The following is a 25038-nucleotide window of genomic DNA, read 5'->3' as shown; positions in this document are numbered from 1 at the left end:
TACTGTAAAAATTCCTCACATGAATCACAAAACCTAAAGAAAAAGGTTTCCACGTCAGTTAAGGATTAATCTGAAAGTCCTTTTAATTTAAATATTTTTTATTTTTTATTAAAATGTTCCTAAATGTGTAAGTACACTAGCATTCTAGTTCTTATGCTACACATTCAAATGCTTTATATATACTATTACAACAATGACAACAATTATTATAACAATGACATAAAGTAGAAATTATTATCTTTATTTTACAGATGAGAAAACTGAATCATAAAAAGGTCACATAACTTGTTGAGGGTTACACAGCTAGTGATCTGGAGCTGGTTTTTGATTTACTAAATATCTTATGTCATCTTATTTTTGTGTGTGTGATTAGTCTATCATAAAATAGAGAACACTTTGGGTTCCTCTCAACCAGTGTTTTCTACAGTGTTTCTTTTTTTTTTTTTTTTGAGACGGAGTCTTGCTCTGTCACCCAGGCTGGAGTGCAGTGGCACAATCTTGGTTCACTGCAACCTCCACCTCCTGGATTCAAGCCATTCTCCTGCCTCAGCCTCCCCAGTTGCTGGGATTACAGGCACGCACCACCATGCCCAGCTACTTTTTGTATTTTTGGTAAAGACAGGGTTTCACCATGTTGGCCACGCTGGTCTTAAACTCCTGGCCTCATGATCTGCCCACCTCGGCCTCCCAAAGTGCCCGGATTACAGGCGTGAGCCACCGTGCCCAGCCTCTAGACTGTTTCTTTACTTAATTTAAGTCCCAATAATCCAAACTGACAGTGATAACTTTTAGCTTAAATTCTTACATCTTTTAGTGCAACATGGATAGGACTTATTGAACTATATTATTTTGTTATTAAAATATGATCTCCTAGGCATAAAACTAGGATTTAGGAAAGGTACAATCAGTCACTAAAGCTACTTCCTTAACCCTAAGGATTAAAAGAAATTCATAAACTACTAACATCAGTTATCAGCTATTGTTGCTTATTCAAACGCAGTAAACCACAGCTCAAGATGTTGATCACACACCTTACTGGTAACAATGAATGTTAAGTTTTATGTGAACAGTGTAAGCATCCGTGGTCAGGATAAAAATCAGCTCTATAACATGGAAGGAAATTTTATATTCAGTGCATATACAACTGGTGTTTGAAAATTTTAATGTACTTGACATTTCAAATGAGGTAATTTCAAAGAGGAAAAAGAAAATGACTTGGTTGAGCAGAAAGGCCAAGCTGTGGATTAATGATGAGGGCTGACATGCATGTACTGACACCTTGGGAGGTTGGGAAAGACACCTACTTCTTTCTTGCATCTGTTTATGGGTACTGAGGATGGGCTCTTTTGTGTTAATTTTAAGTGACTTCCATCTGCATCATAGGTAGAAAAAAATTGCTACAAATTAACATATGAATCACAGTTCCAATCTAATGCTTCAGTATTTCTTCATATTCAAATTCCATACATTTAATTTAAAAAAAAAACCTCAGAAATCAGCAAATTACCTCGAATGTAGCTCTGTGCTGCCATTATTATATTTGCTTCCTCTTTCCCAGACACCAAAGTCAGGCACACGGTAAACTCTTTCCACACAAAATACAAGGTTTTGAATAAAAGAGACCTAAAAGAAAAAGAAATGAAACATAAGGACATACTCAATAACAGGACATAGGCCGGGTGTGGTGGCTCATGCCTGTAATCCCAGCAATTTGGGAGGCTGAGGGGAGGGATTACATGAGGTTGGGAGTTTGAGACCAGCATGACCAACATGCAGAAACTCATCTCTACTAAAAAATACAAAAATTAGGGGTCCATTCCAAGACAGCCGAATACGAACAGCTCCGGTCTTCAGCTCCCAGCATGATCAACACAGAAGACGGGTGATTTCTGCATTTCCAACTGAGATAACCGGTTCACCTCATTGGGAATAGTCGGACAGTGGATGCAGCCCACGGAAGGCGAGCTGAAGCAGGGTGGGGCATCGCTTCACCCAGGAAGTGCAAGGGGTCAGGGAATTTCCCTTTCCTAGCCAAGGGAAGCCTTGACAGACTGTACCAGAAAAATTGGGACACTGTCACCTAAATACTGTGCTTTTCCACTGGTCTTGGCAAACGGCACACCAGGAGATTATATCCTGCACCTTGCTCAGCGGGTCCCATGGCCATGGAGCCTTGCTCACTGTTAGAACGGCAGTCCGAGATCGAACTGCACGGCAGCAAGCCTGGCTGGGGGAGGGGGGTCCACCATTGTGGAGGCTTGAGTAGGTAAACAAAGCAGCCAGGAAGCTATAGGTGGAGCCCACCACAGCTCAAGGAGGACCCCTGCTTCTGTAGACTCCACTTGTGGGGGCATGGCATAGGTGAAAAAAAGGCAGCTGAAACTTCTGCAGAGTTAAACGTCCCAGTCCAACAGCTCTGAAGAGGGCAGTGGTTCTCCCAGCACAGTGTTTGCCCTCTAAGAACAGACAAACTGCCTCCTCAAGTGGGTCCCTGACCCCCATGTAGCCTAACTTGGAGACACGTCCGAGTAGGGGCTGACTAACACCTCATACAGCTGGGTGCCCCTCTGAGTCAAAGCTTCCAGAGGAAGGTTCAGGCAGCAGTATTTGTTGTTCTGCAATATTTGCTGTTCTGCAGCCTCCACTGGTGATACCCAGGGAAACAGGGTCTGGAGTGGACCTCCAGCAAACCCCAACAGAGCTGCAGCTGAGGGGCCTGTTAGAAGGAAAACTAACAAACAGAAAGGAATAGCATCGACATCAACGAAAAGGACATCCACACCAAAACCCCATCTGTAGGTCACCATCATAAAGACCAAAGGTAGGTAAAGCCACAAAGACGGGGAGAAACCAGAGCAGAAAAGCTGAAAGTTCTAAAAACAGGAGTGACCCTTCTCCAAAGAACCGTAGCTCCTCACCAGCAACGGAAAAAAGCTGGATGGAGAATGACTTTGACGAGTTCAAAGAAGTAGGCTTCAGAAAGTTGGTAATAACAAAATTATCCGAGCTAACGGAGGATGTTAGAACCCATTGCAAGGAAGCTAAAAACTTTGAAAAAAGATTATATGAATGGCTAACTAGAATAAACAGTGTAGAGAAGACCTCAACTGATCTGATGGAGCTGAAAACCATGGCACAAGAACTACGTGACACATGCACAAGCTTCAGTAGCCAATTCGATCAAGTGGAAGAAAGGGTATCAGTGATTGAAGATCAAATGAATGAAATGAAGTGAGAAGAGATATTTAGAGAAAAAAGAGTAAAAAGAAACGAACAAGGCCTCCAAGAAATATGGGACTATGTGAAAAGACCAAATCTACGTTTGATTCGTGTACCTGAAAGGGATAGAGAATGGAACCAAGTGGAAAACACGCTTCAAGATATTATCCAGGAGAACTTCCCCAACCTAGCAAGGGAGGCCAACATTCAAATTCAGGAAATACAGAGAACACCACAAAGATACTCCTCGAAAAGAGCAACCTCAAGACACATAATTGTCAAATTCACCAAGGTTGAAATGAAGGAAAAAATATTAACAGCAGCCAGAGAGAAAGGTCGGGTTACCCACAAAGGGAAGCCCATCAGACTAACAGCAGACCTCACGGCAGAAACCATACAAGCCAGAAGAGAGTGGGGGCCAATATTCGCCATTCGTAAAGAAAAGAATTTTCAACCCAGAATTACATATCCAGCCAAACTAAGCTTCATAAGTGAAGGAGAAATAAAATCCTTTACTGACAAGCAAATGCTGAGAGATTTTATCACCACCAGGCCTGCCTTACAAGAGCTCCTGAAGGAAGCACTAAACATGGAAAGGAACAACCAGTACAAGCCACTCCAAAAACATGCCAGATGGAAAGACCATCGATGCTAGGAAGAAACTGCATCAATTAACAGGCAAAATAACCAGCAAGCATCATAATGACAGGATCAAATTCACACATAACAATATTAACCTTAAATGTAAATGGGCTAAATGCCCCAATTAAAATACACAGACTGGCAAACTGGATAAAGAGTCAAGACTCATCAGTATGCTGTACTCAGGAGACCCATCTCACATGCAGAGACGCACATAGGCTCAAAATAAAAGGATGGAGGAAGATCTACCAAGCAAATGGAAAACAAAAAAAAGCAGGGGTTGCAATCCTAGTCTCTGATAAAACAGACTTTAAACCAACAAAGATCAAAAGAGACAAAGAAGGCCATTACATAATGGTAAAGGGATCAGTTCAACAAGAACACCTAACTATCCTAAATATATGATATGTGCACCCAATACAGGAGCACCTAGATTCATAAAGCAAGTCCTTAGAGACTTACAAAGAGACTTAGACTCCCACACAATAATAATGGGAGACTTTAACACCCCACGGTCAATATTAGACAGATCAACAAGACAGAAGGGTAACAAGGATATCCAGGATGTGAACTCAGCTCTGGAACAATTGCATGTAATAGACATCTACAGAACTCTACACCCCAAATCAACAGAATATATATTCTTCTCAGCAACACATCGCACTTATTACAAAATTGACCACATACGTGGAAGTAAAGCACTCCTCAGCAAATGTAAAAGAACAACAATCACAACAAACTGTCTCTGAGACCACAGTGTGATCAACTTATGACTCAGGATCAACAAACTCACTCAAAACCGCACAACTACATGGAAACTGAAGAACCTGCTCCTGAATGACTACTGGGTACATAACGAAATGAAGGCAGAAATAAAGATGTTCTTTGAAACCAACGAAAACAAAGACACAACGTAACAGAATCTCTGGGACACACTTAAAGCAGTATGTAGAGGGAAATTTATAGCACTAAATGCCTATCGGAGAAACTGGGAAAGATCCAAAATCGACACCCTAACATCACAATTAAAAGAACTAGAAAAGCAAGAGCAAACACATTCAAAAGCTAGGAGAAGGCAATAAATAACTAAGATCAGAGCAGAAATGAAGGAGATAGAGAAACAAAAAATCCTTCAAAAAATCAATGAATCCAGGAGCTGGTTTTTTGAAAAGATCAACAAAATTGATAGACGACTAGCAAGACTAATAAAGAAGAAAAGAGAGAAGAATCAATGTATAGAATAGATTGTAATAAAAATAGATGTAATAAATGTATTACATGGATGTAATAATTACATAGATGTAAAAAATAGATGTAAGAATAGATGTAATAAAAATGATAAAGGGGATATCACCACTGATCCCACAGAAATACAAACTACCATCAGAGAATACTACAAACACCTCTATTCAAATAAAGTAGAAAATCTAGAAGAAATTGATAAATTCCTGGAGACCTACAGCCTCCCATGACTAAACCAGGAAGAAGCTGAATAGCTGAATAGATCAATAATAGGCTCTGAAATTGAGGCAATAATTAATAGCCTACCAACCAAAAAAAGTCCAGGACCAGATGGATTCACAGCCGAATTGTACCAGAGGTACAAGGAGCAGCTGGTACCATGCCTTCTGAAACTATTCCAATCAATAGAGAAAGAGGGAATCCTCTCTAACTCATTTTATGAGGCCAGCATCATCCTGATACTAAAGCCTGGCAGACACAAGAAAAAAAAGAGAATTTTAGACCAATATCCCTGAAGAACATCGATGCAAAAATCCTCAATAAAATACTGCCAAATTGAATCCAGCAGCACATCAAAAAGCTTATCCAACACGATCAAGTTGGCATCATCCCTGGGATGCAAGGCTGGTTCAATACATGTGAATCATTAAACGTATCCATCACATAAACAGAACCAAAGACAAAAACCACACCATTATCTCAATAGATGCAGAAAAGGCCTTTGACAATATTCCAACAGCCCTTCATGCTAAAAACTCTCAATAAACTAGGTATTGATGGAATGTATCTCAAAATAATAAGAGCTATTTATGACAAACCCACAGCCAATATCACACTGAATGGGCAAAAACTGGAAGCATTCCCTTTGAAAACTGGCACAAGACAGGGATGCCCTCTCTCACCACTCCTATTCAACATAATGTTGGAAGTTCGGGCCAGGGCAAATAGGCAAGAGAAGGAAATAAAGGATATACAATTAGGAAAAGAGGAAGTCAAATTCTCTCTGTTTGCAGATGACATGATTGTATATTTAGAAAACCCCACTGTCTCAGCCCAAAATCTCCTTAAGCTGATAAGCAACTTCAGCAAAGTCTCAGGATACAAAATCAATGTGCAAAAATCACAAGCATTCTTATACACCAATAACAGACAAACAGAGAGCCAAATCATGAGCAAACTCCCATTCACAATTTCTACAAAGAGAATAAAATACCCAGGAATCCAACTTACAAGGGATCTGAAGGACCTCTTTAAGGAAAACTACAAACCACTGCTAAATGAAATAAAAGAGGACACAAATAAATGGAGGAACATTCCATGCTCATGGATAGGAAGAATCAATATTGTGAAAACGGCCATACTGCCCAAGGTAATTCATAGATTCAATGCCATCCCTAACAAGCTGCCAAGGACTTTCTTCACAGAATTGGAAAAAAGTACTTTAAAGTTCATATGGAACCAAAAAAGATCCCGCATTGCCAAGAGAATCCTAAGCAAAAAAAATGAAGCTGGAGGCATCACGCTACCTGACTTCAAACTATACTACAAGGCTACAATAACCAAAACAGCATGGTACTGGTACCAAAACAGAGATAGACACCACTGGAACAGAACAGAGGCCTCAGAAATAATACCACACATCTACAACCATCTGATCTTTGACAAACCTTACAAAAAGAAGAAATGGGGAAAGGATTCCCTATTTAATGGTACTAGGAAAACTGGCTAGCCATACGCAGAAAGCTGAAACTAGATCCCTTCCTTATACCTTATACCTTATAGGAAAATTAATTCAAGATGAATTAAAGACTTAAATATAAGACCCAAAACCATAAAAACCCTAGAGGAAAACCTAGGCAATACCATTCAGGACATAGGCATGGGCAAGGACTTAATGACTAAAACACCAAAAGCAATGGTAACAAAAGCCAAAATAGACAAATGGTATCTAATTAAACTAAAGAGCTTCTGCACAGCAAAAGAAACTACCATCAGAGTAAGCAGGCAACCTACAGAATGGGAGAAAAATTTTGCAATCTACCCATCTGACAAAGGGCTAATATCCAGAATCTACAAAGAACTTAAATTTACAAGAAAAAAATTAAACAACCCCATCAAAAAGTGGGCAAAGGATATGAACAGACACTTTTCAAAAGAAGACATTTATGCAGCCAACAGACACATGAAAAAAAATGCTCATCATCACTGGTCGTCAGAGAAATGCAAATCAAAACCACAATGAGATATCACCTCACACCAGTTAGAATGGCAATCATTAAAAAGTCAGGAAACAATAGATGCAGGAGAAGATGTGCAGAAATAGGAACACTTTTACACTGTTGATGGGAGTATAAACTAGTTCAACCATTGTGGAAGACAGTGTGGTGATTCCTCAAGGATCTAGAACTAGAAATACCATTTGACCCAGCCATCCCATTACTGGGTATATTCCCAAAGGATTATAAATCATGCTACTATAAAGACACATGCAGATACATGTTTATTGCAGCACTATTCACAATAGCAAAGACTTGGAACCAACCCAAATGTCCATCAATGATAGACTGGATTAAGAAAATGTGGCACATATACACCATGGAATACTATGCAGCCATAAAAAAGGATGAGCTCATGTCCTTTGCGGGGACATGGATGAAGCTGGAAACCATCATTCTCAGCAAACTATTGCAAGGACAGAAAACCAAACACCACATGTTCTCACTCATAGGTGCGAATTGAACAATGAGAACACTTGGACACAGGGTGGGGAACATCACACACCGGGGCCTGTCATGTGGTGGTGTGATGGGGAAGGGGTAGCATTAGGAGAAATACCTAATGTAAATGACGAGTTAATGGGTATAGCAAACCAACACGGTACATGTATACACATGTGACAAACTTGCATGTTGTGCACATGTACCCTAGAACTTAAAGTATAATAAAAAAAAATAAAAATTAGCCAGGCGTGGTGATGTATGCCTGTAATCCCAGCTACTTGGGAGGCTGAGGCAGGAGAATCGCTTGAACACAGGAGGCAGAGGTTGTGGTGAGCCAAGATCGCCCCATTGCCACTCCAGCCTGGGCAACAGGAGTGAAACTCTATCTCCAAAAAAAAAAAAAAAAAAAAAAACAGGACATTTAGATTAGATACTAAAGAGAATAATTAGATAACATTTGAAATCCAAATACATACTTGTCTCCCAACACATTTTTAATATACTGAAATACGTGTGATTATTTCTCGGGGGAACCTGTCCCCAGTATTTTATTGGGGGAACCCGTCCCCAATATTTCAATGTAGGTTCTTTTATTTTCCCTAAGTGTTGGCCAGTCTGAGAAATAAAGAGAAAGAGTACAAAGAGAGGAATTTTACAGCTGGGCCGCCAGGGGTGACATCACATATCGGTAGGACCATGATGCCCACTTGAGCTGCAAAACCAGCAAGTTTTATTTAGGATTTCAAAAGGGGAGGTGGTGCAAGAACAGGGAGTAGGTCACAAGATCACATGCTTCAAAGGGCAAAAAGGAGAACAAAGATCACATGCTTCTGAGGAAACAGGACAAAAGGCAAAACAGAACTACTGATAAGGGTCTATGTTCAGCTGTGCACGTATTGTCTTGATAAACATTTTAAACAACAGAAAACAGAGTTCGAGAGCAGAGAACTGGTCTGACCTCAAATTTACCGGGGAGGGGGGAGGGAGGTTTTTCCACACCCTAATAAACCTGAGGGTACTGCAGGAGACCAGGGCATATTTCAGTCCTTATCTCAACCACATAAGACAGACACTCCCACAGTGGCCGTTTATAGACCTTCCCCAAGGAATGCAATTCTTTTCCTAGGGTCTTAATATTAATATTATTTGCTAGGAAAAGAATTTAGTGATATCTCTCCTACTTGCACGTCCGTTTATAGGCTCTCTGCAAGAAGTAAAATATGGCTTTTTTTGCCCGACCCTGCAGACAGTCAGACCTTATGGGTGTCTTCCCTTGTTCCCTAAAAATCGCTGTTATTCTGTTCTTTTTCAAGGTGCACTGATTTCACATTGTTCAAACACACATTTTACAATCAATTTGTACAGCTAACACAATCATCACAGTGGTCCTGACGTGACATACGTCCTCAGCTTACAAAGACAACAGGATTAAGAGATTAAAATAAAGACTGATGTAAGAAATTATGGAAGTATTATTTGGGAAGTGATAAATGCCCATGAAATCTTCACAATTTATGTTCCTCTGCCGTGGCTCCAGCCAGTCCCTCCGTTCGGGGTCCCTGACTTCCTGCAACAATTATTATATTGCTATGAATACTATTATATATTTTTTCTAATATTAAGCTCACTTAAGCTTAGAGTCTAATATACAGTATAGAAATAAAATTTAAATCTTCTCAATGCTCCAATGGAATGTATCCAATAGATACATTCTTCAACAATGTATCTATTATTGTTTATAAGGACTATACATCTTAAGCACTAAGACAAGTATAAAACATTGTTTTTATACTAGATATAATATGTGTAATCTGAAATGTCCCTATGAAATGTTAAATAAGTCTAAAACTTTAGATATTAAAAAAAAAGTACTTATCTGTTCTGTAAAGTGCCAGTTCCATGTTGGGTCAACCTTAAGTTCTGAGTTTATTCATTATCCTGAAATCCAATCTTCCTCCTGCCTTTTGTATAGCTACAGGTACATTGTTATAAACTCAAAGCTCACAGGTGGAAGTGGGCTCCAACCAAAGGGCCAGGAGTCAGAGCTTCCATGTAAAGATTTCAGACATGTGACAAAATTTATACTCTCAAAAGAAACTATGGAAAACCAAGATTATGGTGAATTCTTAGTTAATAACGTTCCTTTATTTTAATAAGGACAATTTCTTATGTGGGCTACAGGTTCTGATTACAGGGTTTGAAATTTAGTCATCGTGTTAGGTTCAATATGGCAAACTGAATACATGCATCTGCCTACCCTTCAACACAAAACCCTTCTGAAATGGTAATACACATGTCTCACCTTCATCCTACACACACATAATTAATATAATGTATATACTTTTAAGAAGGAAACAATAACACAGAAAGCCAAGGTGAGATTCCATCAGTAGACCAGAAACTTTCAGAAACTACAGGAAGGGAGAAAGCACATGGGAGGGAACTGGTGGAGAAATCAAAGCAGAGGAAACCACAGCCTCTCAAAATGGTGCTTCCTTGTTTTCTAGGGCCTCCAGGAAATCTCTATGCTCAGAGTCAACAAACACAGAGATAAAGAGTTGATCAGGGATAAGTCTACCCAGGTTATCTCATGAAGGACGAATGGCTGGGGCACCTGAATCCATGATGTTTACATTCTCCTCCCCAACAGAGACATTTGCCCTCAGGGGCAAGCATACCTCCCTCATTTCAGTGAAGGAAAGAGCAACCAGGGTGTTAAGGCCTCACAGAAATAGAAGAGAGTGTGAGTTATTTCTAGATTTCTCCAAAACATGCACCTATTCCAGAATCTCTTCACCCAAGGGTAGAACAGTACATCCCACAGTAAACTTTTTTAAATTTTGAATATTGATCAGGGTCCCCTCAGCTTACCCAACTCGGGCTACCTTGCCTATATACCTTAAGGGAAACCTTCCTGTGTAAACAACCTGCTCACTTTCATGATGTTAGCTATTTCATGGTCTTCAAAGTTATTTAGATTTTATAACACAACAGAAAATACTTGATAGTTTTTCAGGTCTCTAAGTTTAAAGCTTTGTGGCTAGGTGCAGTGTCTCATGCCTACAATCCTAGCACTTCGGGAGGCTGAGGCAGCCAGTTAACTTGAGCCCAGAAGTTCAAGACCAGCCTAGGCAACATAGCAAGACACTGTCTGTACAAAAAAAATTAAAAAATTAGCTGGGCATGGTAACATATGCTTGTGGTCCCAGCTGCTCGGGAGGCTGAGGTGGGAAGATTGCTTGAGCCTGGGAGGCTGAGGACAGTGAGCTGTGATCACGCCACTGCACTCCAGCCTGGATGACAGAGAGAGACCTTGCCTCAACTTAAAAAGAGAGAGAGAGAGAGAGAGAGAGAGAGAGAATTTTCCACGTATGTTTACAATACCTGCTTACAATTCAGTGATTTTTCCATTCTAATCCTGAATACATATAACCTGTACCTTTGCTTTGAAATATTTCCACTTGAATTTCCCATTAAACAGTATGTTCTAAACCCTTCCACCAAGAAGCACTTTTCAATTCTGCTTTTTTCCCCATCAGACCACTCTTTTCCAGGCTCTCAGTCTAGAAATCTTGAGATCAACTTTGACTACTGTTCAATAAAATTTATATGAGGACATTGATTTGGACTGAGCTCCTGCAGTAGGCCCAAGAAACCAGACCAAACCAGAATGGAGTCACTTATGCTAGGTGACACACAGTCAAACTGAACATTGAAAAGGGCCAGTTTTCTGAAGAAAAACGAACAAACAAAAGCAGGAGATTCACAGCAGCCAATCAGAAGGGGCCCAGTTTCCCTGAGCTGGCATGATAAAGAAGTCCTTTCTACTTTAATCCTATAAGGAAAGTAACTTTGAAACAACCAATCAGCTTTTTGTTCCCTGTTTCTGCTTTCTTCAGCCCTTTTCTGCCTATGAAGCCAACCTCTTAAGCATAATTCATTGGAGAGCCTTTGCTAGATCTTTGGAAGAAACGCCACTGATTCATGAGTCACTAATAAGTCAATTAGATCTTTTGAATTGTTGCAATTTTGTCTTTTGACACTACTATGTTTCCTTTTAACCCCATATTCATTCCACAGGAAGGCTGCTATTTTTCACATTGCTTCTTTAATCAAAAAAGTTTCGTGAATTCTGACAGAGTATTACAATTCTCATATTTGACATTCAAATCCTCTATATAATCTTCCCACCCTGTCCCCACAGAACTCTATTTATTCCACAATCCTCCGACAGGAACCTGGGTTCTAATTGGGCTGGATGGCCATTAGTCTTGCTCATTTCCAAATGAAAACACTTTTCTATGAATCTTCCTTCAGCCCCCGTTCAAAACTTTTCTTAGTGAAGTCTCTAATTTCTCCTAACTCTCACTATACTTAGAGCCAAGACCACGGCTCTTAATTTTTGTTCCAAGTGTGTTTTTTTTCTCACCTCTAACTAGTACACAGGTCTACCATCTCTTATTTGCAATTCTAAAATGCCACAAGTTCTGAAATCCAATTGTTTTTTCTTAACTCATTTGTCAGCAAAACCCAGAACTGAGATGAGATTAGCTGCCTTATGTTCCTCACTTTGTGTGAATATGTATACATCTTACTGCAAAAATATTAATGTGCAGATTCTGCCCTAAGCCATGCTGGGGTTACTATATAATAAAAGGTATCAAAACAGTATTACTTTTATTTAAATCCAGCAAGTTTTGAAATCGAAAACATATTTGGTTCTAAATGTTTTTTCACATAAGAAACTGTGGTCCTGTATAACTTCTCTGAGCTCAGAAATGTAAACTTCTTGTAGTTCTCACACAAATAATACTATGATTTAGTAAGAACTGGCCTCTTGAGGAAGTATAACATTGCTAGCTAGAATATAAAAATAAAGATCGGCCGGGTGCGGTGGCTCACGCCTGTAATCCCAGCACTTTGGGAGGCTGAGGTGGGCGGATCACCTGAGGTCAGAAGTTCGAGACCAGCCTGACCAACATGGAGAAACTCTGTCTCTACTAAAAATACAAAATTAGCTGGGTGTGATGGCACATGACTGTAATCCCAGCTACTTGGGAGGCTGAGACAGGAGAATCGCTTGAACACGGGAGCCGGAGGTTGCTATGAGCCGAGATCGCGCCACTGCACTCCAGCCTGGGCAACAAGAGTGAAACTCCATCTCCAAATAAATAAATAAATATCATAACCATTTCCATGGTCAGGGTATTCTGTGTATTATTTTCAATCCTGACTCTAGTTTATGTACTCAATGTTGTTAGCCCATTGTTGCATCTTCATACCAATTTCTAATTTCTGTTACCTTGCTTTGAAAGCATGTACCTTTGATATCCACTTCTGCAAAAAGTATGTAGAGAAATATTTCTAATTGGAAAGAGCTAGAACAGTCAGATCCAAATGTCATCTGTGGTGTTTTCAGTATGTTTTAAGAGTATCATTAAGACAATAATGCAAATATCTGAAATACTTTCAAAACAGAGTTAAATGAAATACAACAATAACGTTTGAGATTGAATTAGAGTAAGTATTGCACTAAAAATCAAAATCTTAATGGACTTTATAAAATTTAAGGTGTGTGTGCTAAGAAACAAGTTAGAGATAGAGCGGGACTTATATTGTATAAAATACAGTTTTAGTTCACTGCAACTCCAAAAGCAAACAATTATTTAACTCTCTCTCCATATGTTACTAAAAACAATCAGTATAATAAATCAGTATAACCAAACTGTATAGTAACTCCTCAATTCTGAGGGATAGGCTCCTAAAAACATCTATGGTAATATAATTTGTTAACAAGAAATTTATTATGGAGAAATTAGATAAGGAGATACTGAGTTTATAAATGACCACTGAATGTTCACTAAAGTAAAACAATTCAGACCAAGCACAAATGCTAAGTTTAAAGGAAGTTTTTGTTATACATGTTAAATTAGTAATACTGGGTACTATACAAATGATTTCCATTTACTGTTCCTTTACCACTAGAAACATTTCAGGATTTCTCTTCCCCAAGTTTCAAAAAGATATTTGTCAGTTAATTTGTCTTAATGAAGGTAAGTGCTGATTAAAAGGTCTTCTCCCCTGTGTCTTGTACAGCTAAATGCTTAAGGTTTTTATGATTTCACACACTCTTTAGTGTAACCGAGCCCTACCTGCAGTGAGTAACTGCTCAGGAACAACAAAGCTTTGCGTAACCTTGATTTACTTCAAAAACTCTCTCCCTGATACCCAAAGTGAAGTAATTTTAGTCCTCCTTGTATTTCACTGTCATTTCTCCTTAGCTTATTTCTTCCTCACTCATTCCTCATTTCTTATGACCTCAATAAATTTTATGTTATTCTGCCACATGTCCCTCAATTTTGATTTGTCTAATACTTTCCCATGAATGGACAAAAGTAATGCATTTTTGGCAAGAATATCATAGAAATAATGTTGTGACTTTCTTAAAGCACCATAGCACAGGATTCATGATGTCAATGTATCTTCTTGCTGGTGGTAACAACCATGATCACTTAGTTATAGTAGCTCCTACTTTGTAATGTTATCACCTTTCCCTTGGTAGTTAATAAATATCTTGAGGGAAATGCTTTGGAACTATGTATAAATCCTGTTTCTCCTCATAATTTTATGTACTAATTTCAGCATTTATCAGTGGATCTTGTTTACACTAATTATCACCAGTTCTTGCCTAAAGGTTATTTTCTATTTCCCTCTTTATTTCTACATTTATGAATTAAAATCCTACCATAACAGTTTTTTAATGCAACAGTGCTGCAATGAAATTTTAGTATGTCTCTAGGAAAGAGCTTCCCAATCATTTTGACATCATGGTACATATAGAAATATTATTTCTATACATACATTGAAGTAACTGGACAAGACTCCTGGCAGCCAGAGGTTATCGGCCAGTGAGGTATGGCTAAGTCCAGGCCCCACCAACACCTTTAGGATGAAGACTCATTACCATGGCAAATCTGTAACCTGTCTGTGGTACCCTAGTAAGAAAGCTCTAAGCTAGTGATGGCAGCGGTGGGCCATCTGGAGTGGCTGCTGTTATCACGCCAGCTGCAGCAGGTAGGTACACCCGGGCTGCATGCTCTGTGGGGTTGGCGGGAGCCAGGAACAGGAGGGAGTCCCACCCCTTCCGAGCTTGGGTGGGAGCTCCCCAGATGCCACTGCAGCCGCCCAAGCCACAGCTGAAGACCAGGGTATCTCTGTACTCTTGGGGCCTGGGAGGAGGGGGGAGCCCCACCATCCTGGGTGCAGCTGCAGCCGCCCAAGTTGTGGCTGTGGGCCCAGGCCTCCTGCTCCACAGAGCAGGCAGGAGCCCCGCCCTCCCTGGTGCAGCTGCAGCTGCCCAAGTTGTGGCTGTGGACCCAGGTCTCTCTGTGCTCTTGGGGGTGCCAAGAGCAGGCAGGAGCCCTGAACCTCTGGCACAGCTGTGGCTGCCCAAACTGTGGCTGCAGACCCAGGCATCTCTATACTCTTGGGGGCCCAAGAAACCCCCTCCCTGCCCTCGCAGGCTTGGAAGTACCTGCTACTGATGCTTGGCTTCTCCCTGCTGTCAGTACCCACTATGATCTTGGAGCAAAGTCAGGGTTGAGCCCAGATGCTATAACAGCCCAGCCAAGTGTGCACATGCTCAGGGCGGTGCAAACATGCCAGCCCCCTGCAGCCTCGGCCCCCTCCAGACTCTGGGCATTGATGAACACCTAAGGGAAGCCAAGGCAGGGTTGAGGGCGGCCTGGCACTGGCCTGCAGGCCCTCTTGGCACCTACAGCCTAGGTGCCATGAACAGGCAGGAGGCAGACAGGTTCCTGGGCAGAAGGGGGCAGGTTCCTGGTGAGGCCCCACTTTCAGGCCAGGGAGGGCCTGAAGGCTGGCGGCTGGACTGCCAGTCCTGTGGACTGGGGTGAGAACGTGTGGTGCCTTTTTTGAGCCTGCCTATGGACCAATGGGCATGCACTTCCTCACCCCTGAGGCCCATAAAAGCCCCAGGCTCAGCCAGAGCTGAGCAGGCATCGGGATGACTAGCTGCAGAGAGGAGCTACCTACTCCAAGGCTTCCTCTCTGCTAAAAACTGCAGATGTCAGGACAACCAGGTGCAGAGAGGAGCAACCCACTCCAGAAACTCCTCTCTGCTGAGAGCTGCAGAGATGATGGGATGACCTGCTTGCAGAGGGGAGCTTCCCACTCCATGGTCTCCTCCCTGCTAGGAGTTGAACACTTATCAGGATAACCTGGCTGCAGAAAGAAGCTACCCACTGCAGGTCTCCTCTAAGTTGTTCCACTGCTCAATAAAGCTCTTCTTCATTTTGCTCACCCTCCACTTGACTGCATACCTCACTCTTCCCAATCACAGGACAAGAACATGGGACCCATAAAATGGTGGGGCTAAAAGAGCTGTAACACAAATAGGGCTGAAACGTGCCCCTTGCCTGCCACATTGTGGCCCTTTGGGGAGCCCAGACGTGGGAGCTCCCTGAGCCAGGGCTGACTCCCTCTTTGGGGTCCTGTGGTTCCTGACATCTCCAAGCTTCTGGGTGCCACTGCATTCCCCAGTGCCAGCTGTGGAAGCTGCTTACAGTGCACCTGGTCCAGCTGCAGCCTCACAGAGAGCTGGCACCCATGCCAACACCTAGAGCTGCCCACTCCGTTGCAGCAGCTAGCATATTTGACTGTGCAGTGTCCAGACCCTACACTTGCTCATACACCCCTCACCACTCCACATCTGGCTCATCCTTGGCAGGCATGGGATCCAGCCTGGTAGCATGAGCCAAGTGGAATGAGCCCAGTGGACTGGAGCAAAACTTGGGCAAAGGTGCCACTGGCCACAGAGGTTTCTGGCCAGAAAAGCAACACCCCAAGGATCCCATAACACCATAACACTAGGGTATCATCTAAACGCTGAACTGGTGAATTGTACACCAAGTGCACCTTCAATTTTACTAGATATTGTCAAATTGCTCTCCAAATTAGTTACAAGAACTTATGCCCACCTCAAGAGGGCAGAGAATTATCAATGCTTTGTATCCTTCACTGATAAGTAGGGTTATCTAACTCTTGTTACACAAGTCTGATGCATGTGAAGTGGCATATGATCGGGGTTTAAATTTGAATTTCCCTAATTAGGGGTCCTAATTTCCTGTTTTTTAAATTGAGGGTTTTTTAAATTGATAAGTAATAGTTCTTTATTCTAGATACATATCTTGTGTCAGATACCTGTGTTACAAATGTCTTCTCTCAAGTCTTGGCTTTTCTTTTCACCTTGTTTATTGTTGTTTTTTGATGAGCAGATTGTTACTTTAATGGATCAAATTGATTTTATGTGTGTATGCATTTTATACTTTTATGTCTTACTGAAGAAAGCCTCCCTTCCCTGAAATCAGAAACATATGCTCTCCTAAAATTTCCTCTCCAATAGTAGTTCTCAGATTGTGATATAGGAAAATTAAGAGACCATGAAGTTAAAACTATTTTGCCTCTCATTGTCTCACAAACGTAACATGAGTTTTCTAGTGGCTACATTATATACGTAATATTGCAATACATTGATGGCAAAAGTGGGTAGAGAATCCAAGTGTCTTCTATTAAGCCAAAATTTAGAGATTTCCAAAAATGTAAAGCAATGCTATTATTTTCACTCAATTATTTTTATTTTGGAAAAGTTATTTTTATTAAAAATACAGTATTTATGTTAGCCTGTAATGGATTATTTTAAAATTAATAAAATAAATACACTCAATGTATCTTTTACTTTCTAATATAGTAACTATCAAGGGATGTAAACACACACAAAACAAATGTAAGCATATAAGGTCAAACAAAAACTCTACCGGGTTCTCAAAATTTTAAGAATATAAAGGACCTTGAGATCAAAAAGTTTGAACACCCTTGCTCTAAAAGTATAACCTTTGTGCCTTTCACAATTCACACCTGGGAACTGATTATCACATAAAAAGTGGCTTCCAATATCTTTTATAAAAATAATGAAAATCCATTTATTGAAGAGGTCACCCTATGGCTCTGGAAAGCCTACACTTTCATAAATCTAACTCCATATACGTATGTGTGTGTCGGGAGGGGGTGTATATAAGTCATTTCTGGGCCCTCAATTCTGTTCCACTGACAATATGTCTAGCACCATACTAATATCACATTGTTGAATTTCCATGGATGTATGGGGTTTATATCAGGTAAAGGAAGTCTCCCTTCATATTTTTCCTTCTCCAAAATCACCTTGTGTATTTTACAGTTTATTCTTCTAAATAAATTTTAGGATGAGTTTCTCAAATTCCATTAAAAATCTGTTGAGACGTCTACGGAAATTTTGTTGAGTTTAGAGATTAATAATATAGCAAGAATCAGTATCTTTACATTATTAAGCATTCTTGTGTATTGACATTATTTATGCTAATATTTATTTAGATCTTCATTTTATGATCCAAGTTTTATAATTTTGTCCATCTGCTATTAGGTTCTTTCCCAGGTACTTTAGAGTATAATATTTACTTTACATTAGACCAATTTTCTGACTAGTTATTGCTGCTCTATAGATAAAATTATTGCTCTCCATATGTTGATCATGTATCCAGCTTTACAACTATATTTTTAATGACTTTTAGTAGTTTATCTAAGAATTCATTTCAATTTACTAGAAATTCATTTTAATTCACTAGAAATGCAAACTTTTTCATTTCTGCCATTGCCATCCACACCTATTACTTCTTGCCTTATTGCTTTGGCTAGGTCACCTGTACAATGTTAAATAGGAGTTTAGTGGCCAGGCGCAGTGGCTTTCCCCTGTAATCCCAGCACTTTGGGAGGCTGAGGCAGGCGGATCACTTGAGGCCAGGAGTTCAAAAACAGTCTGGGCAAAACCCATCTCTACTGGGTGGGCGAAACCACATCTCTACTAAAAATACAAACATTAGTTGCGCATGGTGGCACACGCCTGTGATCCCAGCTACTTAGGTGGCTGAGACATGAAAATTACTTGAACTCAGGAGGCAGAGGTTGCAGTAAGCCGAGATCATGCCACTGCCATCTAGCTTGGGTGACAGAGCAAGACTCTGTCTGGAAAAAAAAAAAAAAAAAAAAGGAGTTTATATAATCAGTATCTCCTTTTCTTGTCCCTCAAACTAAAGGGTCTGATTCTAATGTGATATCTGCTGCAGATTTTTGGTAGATATATTTTATTAGATTAAGAAAATTCCATTTTATTAGAATGCTTTTCATGAATAGGTGATGAATTCTTTGCCAAATATGTTTTATGCACCTATTGAAATGGTTATATGGTTTTTCTTTCTTCCTTAATTTGCTAATGTAATGAGTTACACTAACGGATGTTCCCATTTTAAATCATCCTTGCATTTCTAAGATTAAACACTACCTGGTCCTGGCACATGATGCTAACTGACCACCAATATCTGGTCTCTCTTCCTTTCTTGATAATAAAACCCTGATTTTTAACTTCATAAGGCTCCACAGCAGCAGGAATGGTTGTGTGACCAAGTTCTGGCCAATGAGATTATACAGATGTCATGGGACCAAGCTTCTAGAAACTTAAAAAATATGTATGTTTTTTAGGCTGGGTGCGGTGGCTCATGCCTGTAATCCCAGCACTTTGGGAGGCAAGGTGGGCGGATCACGAGGTCAGGAGATCGAGACCATCCTGGCCAACAAGGTGAAACCCTGTCTCCACTAAAATACAAAAAGTTAGCCAGATGTGGTAGTGCGTGCCTGTAGTCCCAGCTACTTGGGAGGCCGAGGCAGGGGAATTGCTTGAACCCAGAAGGCGGATATTGCAGTGAGCCAATATCACACCATTGTACCCTAGCCTGGCAACAGAGCAAGACTCTGTCTCCAAAAAAAAAAAAAAAAAAAATTATTTTTTAAAGATTTTTGTAGCGATGAGTTCTTGCTTTATTGCCAAGGCTGGTCTCAAATTTTTGGCTTCAAGTGATCCTCCCACCTCAGCCTCCCAAAGACTTGGGATTAGAGATGTGAGCCACTGCACCTGGCCAAGAAACTTCTTTAAAGCCTCTTCTTTTTTGATTCTTACATACAAGTGTAGACATGATACCTAGAGGAATACCACCTATATTATGATTATTTGGATAAATGTCTCATGCCAAATACAGCAGAGGGATAGAAAAGGAATCCATATCCTTGATGACTGTTAAAGCCTAGGAAAACACTTCCAATCCCCAGCATTTTTTGTGTATAAAATAAATCCTGGCCAGGCATGGTTCCTCACGCCTGTAATCCCAGCACTTTGGGAGGTTGAGGTGGGTGGATCATGAGGTCAGGAGTTCAAGATCACCCTGGCCAAGATGGTGAAACCCCATCTCTACTAAAAACACAAAAATTACCCGGTGCAGTGGCAGGTGCCTGTAATCCCAGTTACTTGGGAGGCTGAGGCAGAAGAATCGCTTGAATCTGGGTGGCAGAGGTTGCAGTGAACTGAGATCATGCCACTGCACTCCAGCCTGGGAGACAGTGAGACTCCGTCAAAATAAAAAAAAAAAAAAAAAGAAAAAGTCCTTTATTTATTGAAACCACTGTTCGATGGGTTTTCTTTTATTTGTAGCCAAGTGAAACTTTACATGATACCTTATCCATGACTCATTTACATTCTCATTCTCCATGTTTCCAAAAGAATACACGAAAAAAAAAAATTGAGCCTGGTTTAAAATTTGATTTATTCATACTAACATCATCAACTTTTATAAAATTATACCAATCTCATAAAATTTATTGAGGAGCTTTTCCTATTTTATAAGGCAGGAGTTATATCTTCCTTTAAGCTTTGATAAAATGTGCCTATTAACTAACTAGCTAGAGAGCTATTCTCTTTTTGGAGAAGATGAAGAGAAAAAGTAAGATTTCTGAAAAATGATTTACTTTCTTCAAAGGCTACTGATTATGCATTCCTAGGGAGGTGAAATTGGTTCTCAAGAGAGCAAGGGGCAAAAAAAATCTTAGCTATTACAATAAGGTCTGACCCTTCAAAGCTCAATTCTACCCAACAAAATGTTACTCTTTAGTATTTAATTTCTCACATTAGGGAGAATTTAAATTAAATAGTTTTCCCTTCCTTGGAGGCAACAAAAATAACAACAACAATAAAAAGCTTAAGAACTGTTATAAGTCTATTTCATTATTCTATTTCTTTCTAAGTCACTTACAGTAACTACTTCTTTGCTAAGGCTGCCATATAAAATACCATAGTCCGTGTGGCTTAAGTAACAGAAATTTCTCTTTCCACAGTTCTGACAGTGGGAAGTCTAAGACCAAGGTGTTGGCAGGTCTGGTTTCTCCTGAGACCTTGCTCTTTGGCTAGCAGAAGGCCATCCTCCTGCTGCTTTGTCCTCATGTGGCCTTTCCTTTGTGCACACACACCCCTGGTATTCCTTTCTACATCAAAATTTACTTCCCTTATGAGGACACCAGTCAGACTGGATTAGGTTTCACCCAAGGGCCTCATTTTAATTTACCTCTTTAAAGACCCTACCTTTAAAACACTATGTTTATATCTCCAAATAGTCACATTCTGAGGTAGCAGGGGCTACAGCTCCAATGTATGAATTTTGACGGGACATAATTCAACCCAAAACAGTAAATTATGGTGTTTCTAGAACACATTCCATTTGGAAAGTTTTAAAATTTATTGCCGTGCACTTTCTTATAGAAGATTCCTTTTTTCTCTTTTAATCTCTACTTATTTACAGTTATGTTCTCCTTTTCATTGTGAATATTGTTTCTCTGTTTAACTCTTCCTTATCTGCTTGGTAAATTTTTTAAGAGGTCAGTTTATATTGTTAATCTTTTTTAAAAAATAAAGCTGTTGGTTTTGAGAGTCTCTATCCTACCTTTATATTTGATACCATTATTCCTATATTTATCTTTATTACTTTCTTCCTTCTACTTGCTTTGTGTTTACTAAGGCATACTTTTCCTAACATTTAAAATCTAATATTTAACTTATCAATTTTCCATCATAACTCTTTTCTACTATCTGCATGTGATATAGTTTGGATGTGTGTCCCCTCTAATCTCATGTTGAATTGTAATTCCCAGTGTTGGAGGTGGGACCTGGTTAGAGGCGAGTAACTCACGGAGGCAGATTTCTTATAAATGGTTTAGCACCATCCCCTTAGTGCTTTCCTAGAGATAGTGGGTGAGTTCTCATGAGATCTGGTGGTTTAAGACTGTGGCACCTCCCTCCCCACTCCCTCTTGCTCCTGCTCTGGCCATGTGACTTGCCTTCTCCTGTTTTGTCTTCTGCCTTGAGGAAAAGTTCCCTGAGGCCTCTCCAGAAGCTGAGCTGATGCCAGTGCTATGCTTATAGAGCCTGCAGACCTGTGAGCCAATTAAACCTTTTTTCTTTACAAATTACCCAGTCTCAGGTATTTCTTTATAGCAATGCAAGAACGGCCTAATACAACATTCAAGGCTAAAAACTGCTCACCAATAACACTTCCGCTATATGCTACAAGTATTGATATGATGTGTTTTCATTTTTGTTCCATGGTATTTCTCAATTTCCATTTTCATTTTTTCTTGAAAAACCATAAAATAAAAGCTATTTTTTTTTCTTTTTGCTTTTTTGTTTAAGAGATGGAATCTTGCTCTGTCACTCGGGCTAGAGTTCAGTGGTGCCCTGACCGTTCACTACAGCCTTGAACTCTTGACGATGGGGCCTGGTTGGGAAGGAAACCAGCTATATGATTACAGGATTGAAACTTTCAGTCCCAACTCTCAACCTCCAGGAACTGAAGGTTGAGCTTATCAGCAACGGTGAATAATTTTTTTTTTTTTTTAGAAGAATCTCACTCTGTCGCCCGGGCTGGAGTGCAATGGCACGATCTCGGCTCACTGCAAACTCTGCCTCTCGGATTCAAGCAATTCTCCCTGCCTCAGCCTCGCGAGCAGCTGGGATTACAGGTGCCCGCCACCATGCCCAGATAATTTTTGCATTTTTAGTAGAGACAGGGTTTCACCATGTTGGCCAGGCTGGTCTCGAACTCCTGACCTCAGATATCCATCCGCCTTGGCCTCCCAAAGTGCTGGGATTACGGGCATGAGCCACCGCACCCAGATGGCCTAGTCATTTTTTTTAACCCAATTTTGAGGCCCTGGTTAGAGGCTGGTTAGTTCTTCTTGAGTAGCAGATCTATACCCCAACCACTTCCCGGATTAGCTCTCACACTGGACCATTATGTATCTACCCTAACTGCCCCAGGGCCAGCTATCCTACAAAGTGAGAAAACCCGTATACAGGAGCCACAGAAAGTACTCAAATTAGCTAATCCATAGGGAGCCCAAGAAACCTAGCTAACCCTCCCTTCCTCATTATGCTTTTATAAACTGTTCCCTACTGTTGAAGCTTGCTGTTCACCTGTCCTCTGGTACAACTCCCTGTGTAGCCCTACATGGGGGCTTTCATTCACAGCTATAAATGACAAACAGAGTGCACTTCATCTAAAGATGAATAATGAAGAGTTGGGCATTTCACTTAAGATGAACAAAGATTTGTGCTTTTCATCATTGCGTTGTTTTCGGCTAGCAAAAAAAATCCTTAAAGCTCATAAAACACACGGTGGGGCAGATTAATGGATTAACACCATAAGGTCATTTAGGGACCCAAGTTCCTTCCATCTCTTGTTCCCTAGGAGTTTTCTTAGGCAGGGGAGAAAAGAGTTATTTTTATGTATTTTGTACAAGATGTGTTTTGTTCAATTCAGATTGACAGTCATCATCTCTTCAAACAGTGCTTTTCCCCAATTCTCTCCATTTTGAAATAGATTTACCTTATTTCATATATTTTTTCCTATTTATACATCTCTTAACACTGATAGAAAGTAGTTATCTTTTTAATGCTCTGCCTTATTGAAGAAAAAGCCACCCCTTTCCTAAAATAGTGATCATTTGTGGGTAAAAACTCCAGACATATTAAAATCAAAGAATAAATCTTTTCTCAACTAAACTGTATCTGCCTCCTGCTCAAAATATTAAAATAGTTTGTCCTTGGGGAATTCTCCCTCTCCTGCAGGTGACAAGTGAACCGTATGCAATACTAAAGAACTTTCATCCCAGGATTTCAAGATTTTAGGGAAAAAATGGATAATTTATGTAATTATAATAAAAATTCTACTGAAAATTCACAAACTTTGCCTGACTCAGAATACTAAAGCCAACTAAAAAGTAATAGCCACTTTTCAATACCACTGGATAACAAATAATATAACTTGATTTAAAAATTCCCATAAAAGAATTTTTAAAAAAATTTTAAAAGATTTTTAAAAATCGTAAGTGAGTCAAGTAGAATTTTCATGATATAGTAAAAAGAAAAATATTAAAGTGTTCCCTTTTAAGACTTCCCAGTCAGGCAACACGGGGATACTGAATGAAGGAATTTCAGAACTGGAAAAAATATCCTCAAAGAATGTTATTAGCAGATCAAACACAAATGAATACTAACGTTAGCCCCTAATCTTATCATTAGTAGCTTCATTCCCATGGTGGCTGAGAATATGTGGTCAATAGTAACTGATTCAAAATACACAGATACTGCAAAGAAAAAGGCACGCACCACCACTCCCAGGTAATTTTTGTATTTTTAGTAGATACAGGGTTTCACTATGTTGGCCAGGCTGGTCTCGAACTCCTGACCTCAGGTGATCCACCAGCCTCAGCCTCTCAAAGTGCTGGGATTACAGGCGTGAGCCACCCCACCCAGCCTGGTTGTATATTTCTGACACATGTTACAGAATGTCAGACAGCCATTAAAAGTGTTGTATATAGATGTTTAAATGTAGCAAAATGTATGCAGCATATTAAAGTATTTTTTTTAAGGCAGTTAAAAAACACACTGGGACTCCAGGGTTAATGGATCTTATAAAATGACTGAACTGCAGGATAAAAAGGTTTTCTTTGGCAGTAGGGGAAGGTACAAATATAAAGTTACATAAACAATAATTACTGAAAAACAAACGGAATCCAAATCACGGAACAGCAGAGGAAAGGCCTCAGGAAATCCAATTGTTCACACAAGCAGTAAGAATATTGACAAAACTCATCAAACTTTTTCAGAACTCCGGAAATTCAACAAGAGCATACAACGATCCGAGCATTAAATCAAGAAAAATGGCTGAAACCTCACTAAGTAGAGTGAGCTTTGGGGTATGTGAAATTGCCCTATTCTCAACCC

General features: G+C 40.1%; 1 protein-coding gene across 3 annotated transcripts in view; it reads right to left on the bottom strand.

The window, feature by feature from the left end:
- The window catches only part of PHKB (phosphorylase kinase regulatory subunit beta), a 240225-nt gene that overhangs the window by 152468 nt on the left and 62719 nt on the right, over positions 1-25038 (bottom strand). For all 3 annotated transcript variants that reach the window (NM_001363837.1, NM_001031835.3, NM_000293.3), the window contains one exon: positions 1508-1623. In NM_001363837.1, coding sequence (NP_001350766.1) covers positions 1508-1623 — 116 coding nt within the window. The remainder of the gene's footprint in view (positions 1-1507; positions 1624-25038) is intronic.

The sequence above is a fragment of the Homo sapiens genome, chromosome 16 (assembly GCF_000001405.40).
Source record: "Homo sapiens chromosome 16, GRCh38.p14 Primary Assembly".
NCBI classification, from domain to species: Eukaryota; Metazoa; Chordata; class Mammalia; order Primates; family Hominidae; genus Homo; species Homo sapiens.
This window is presented reverse-complemented; position numbering and strand designations above follow the sequence as displayed.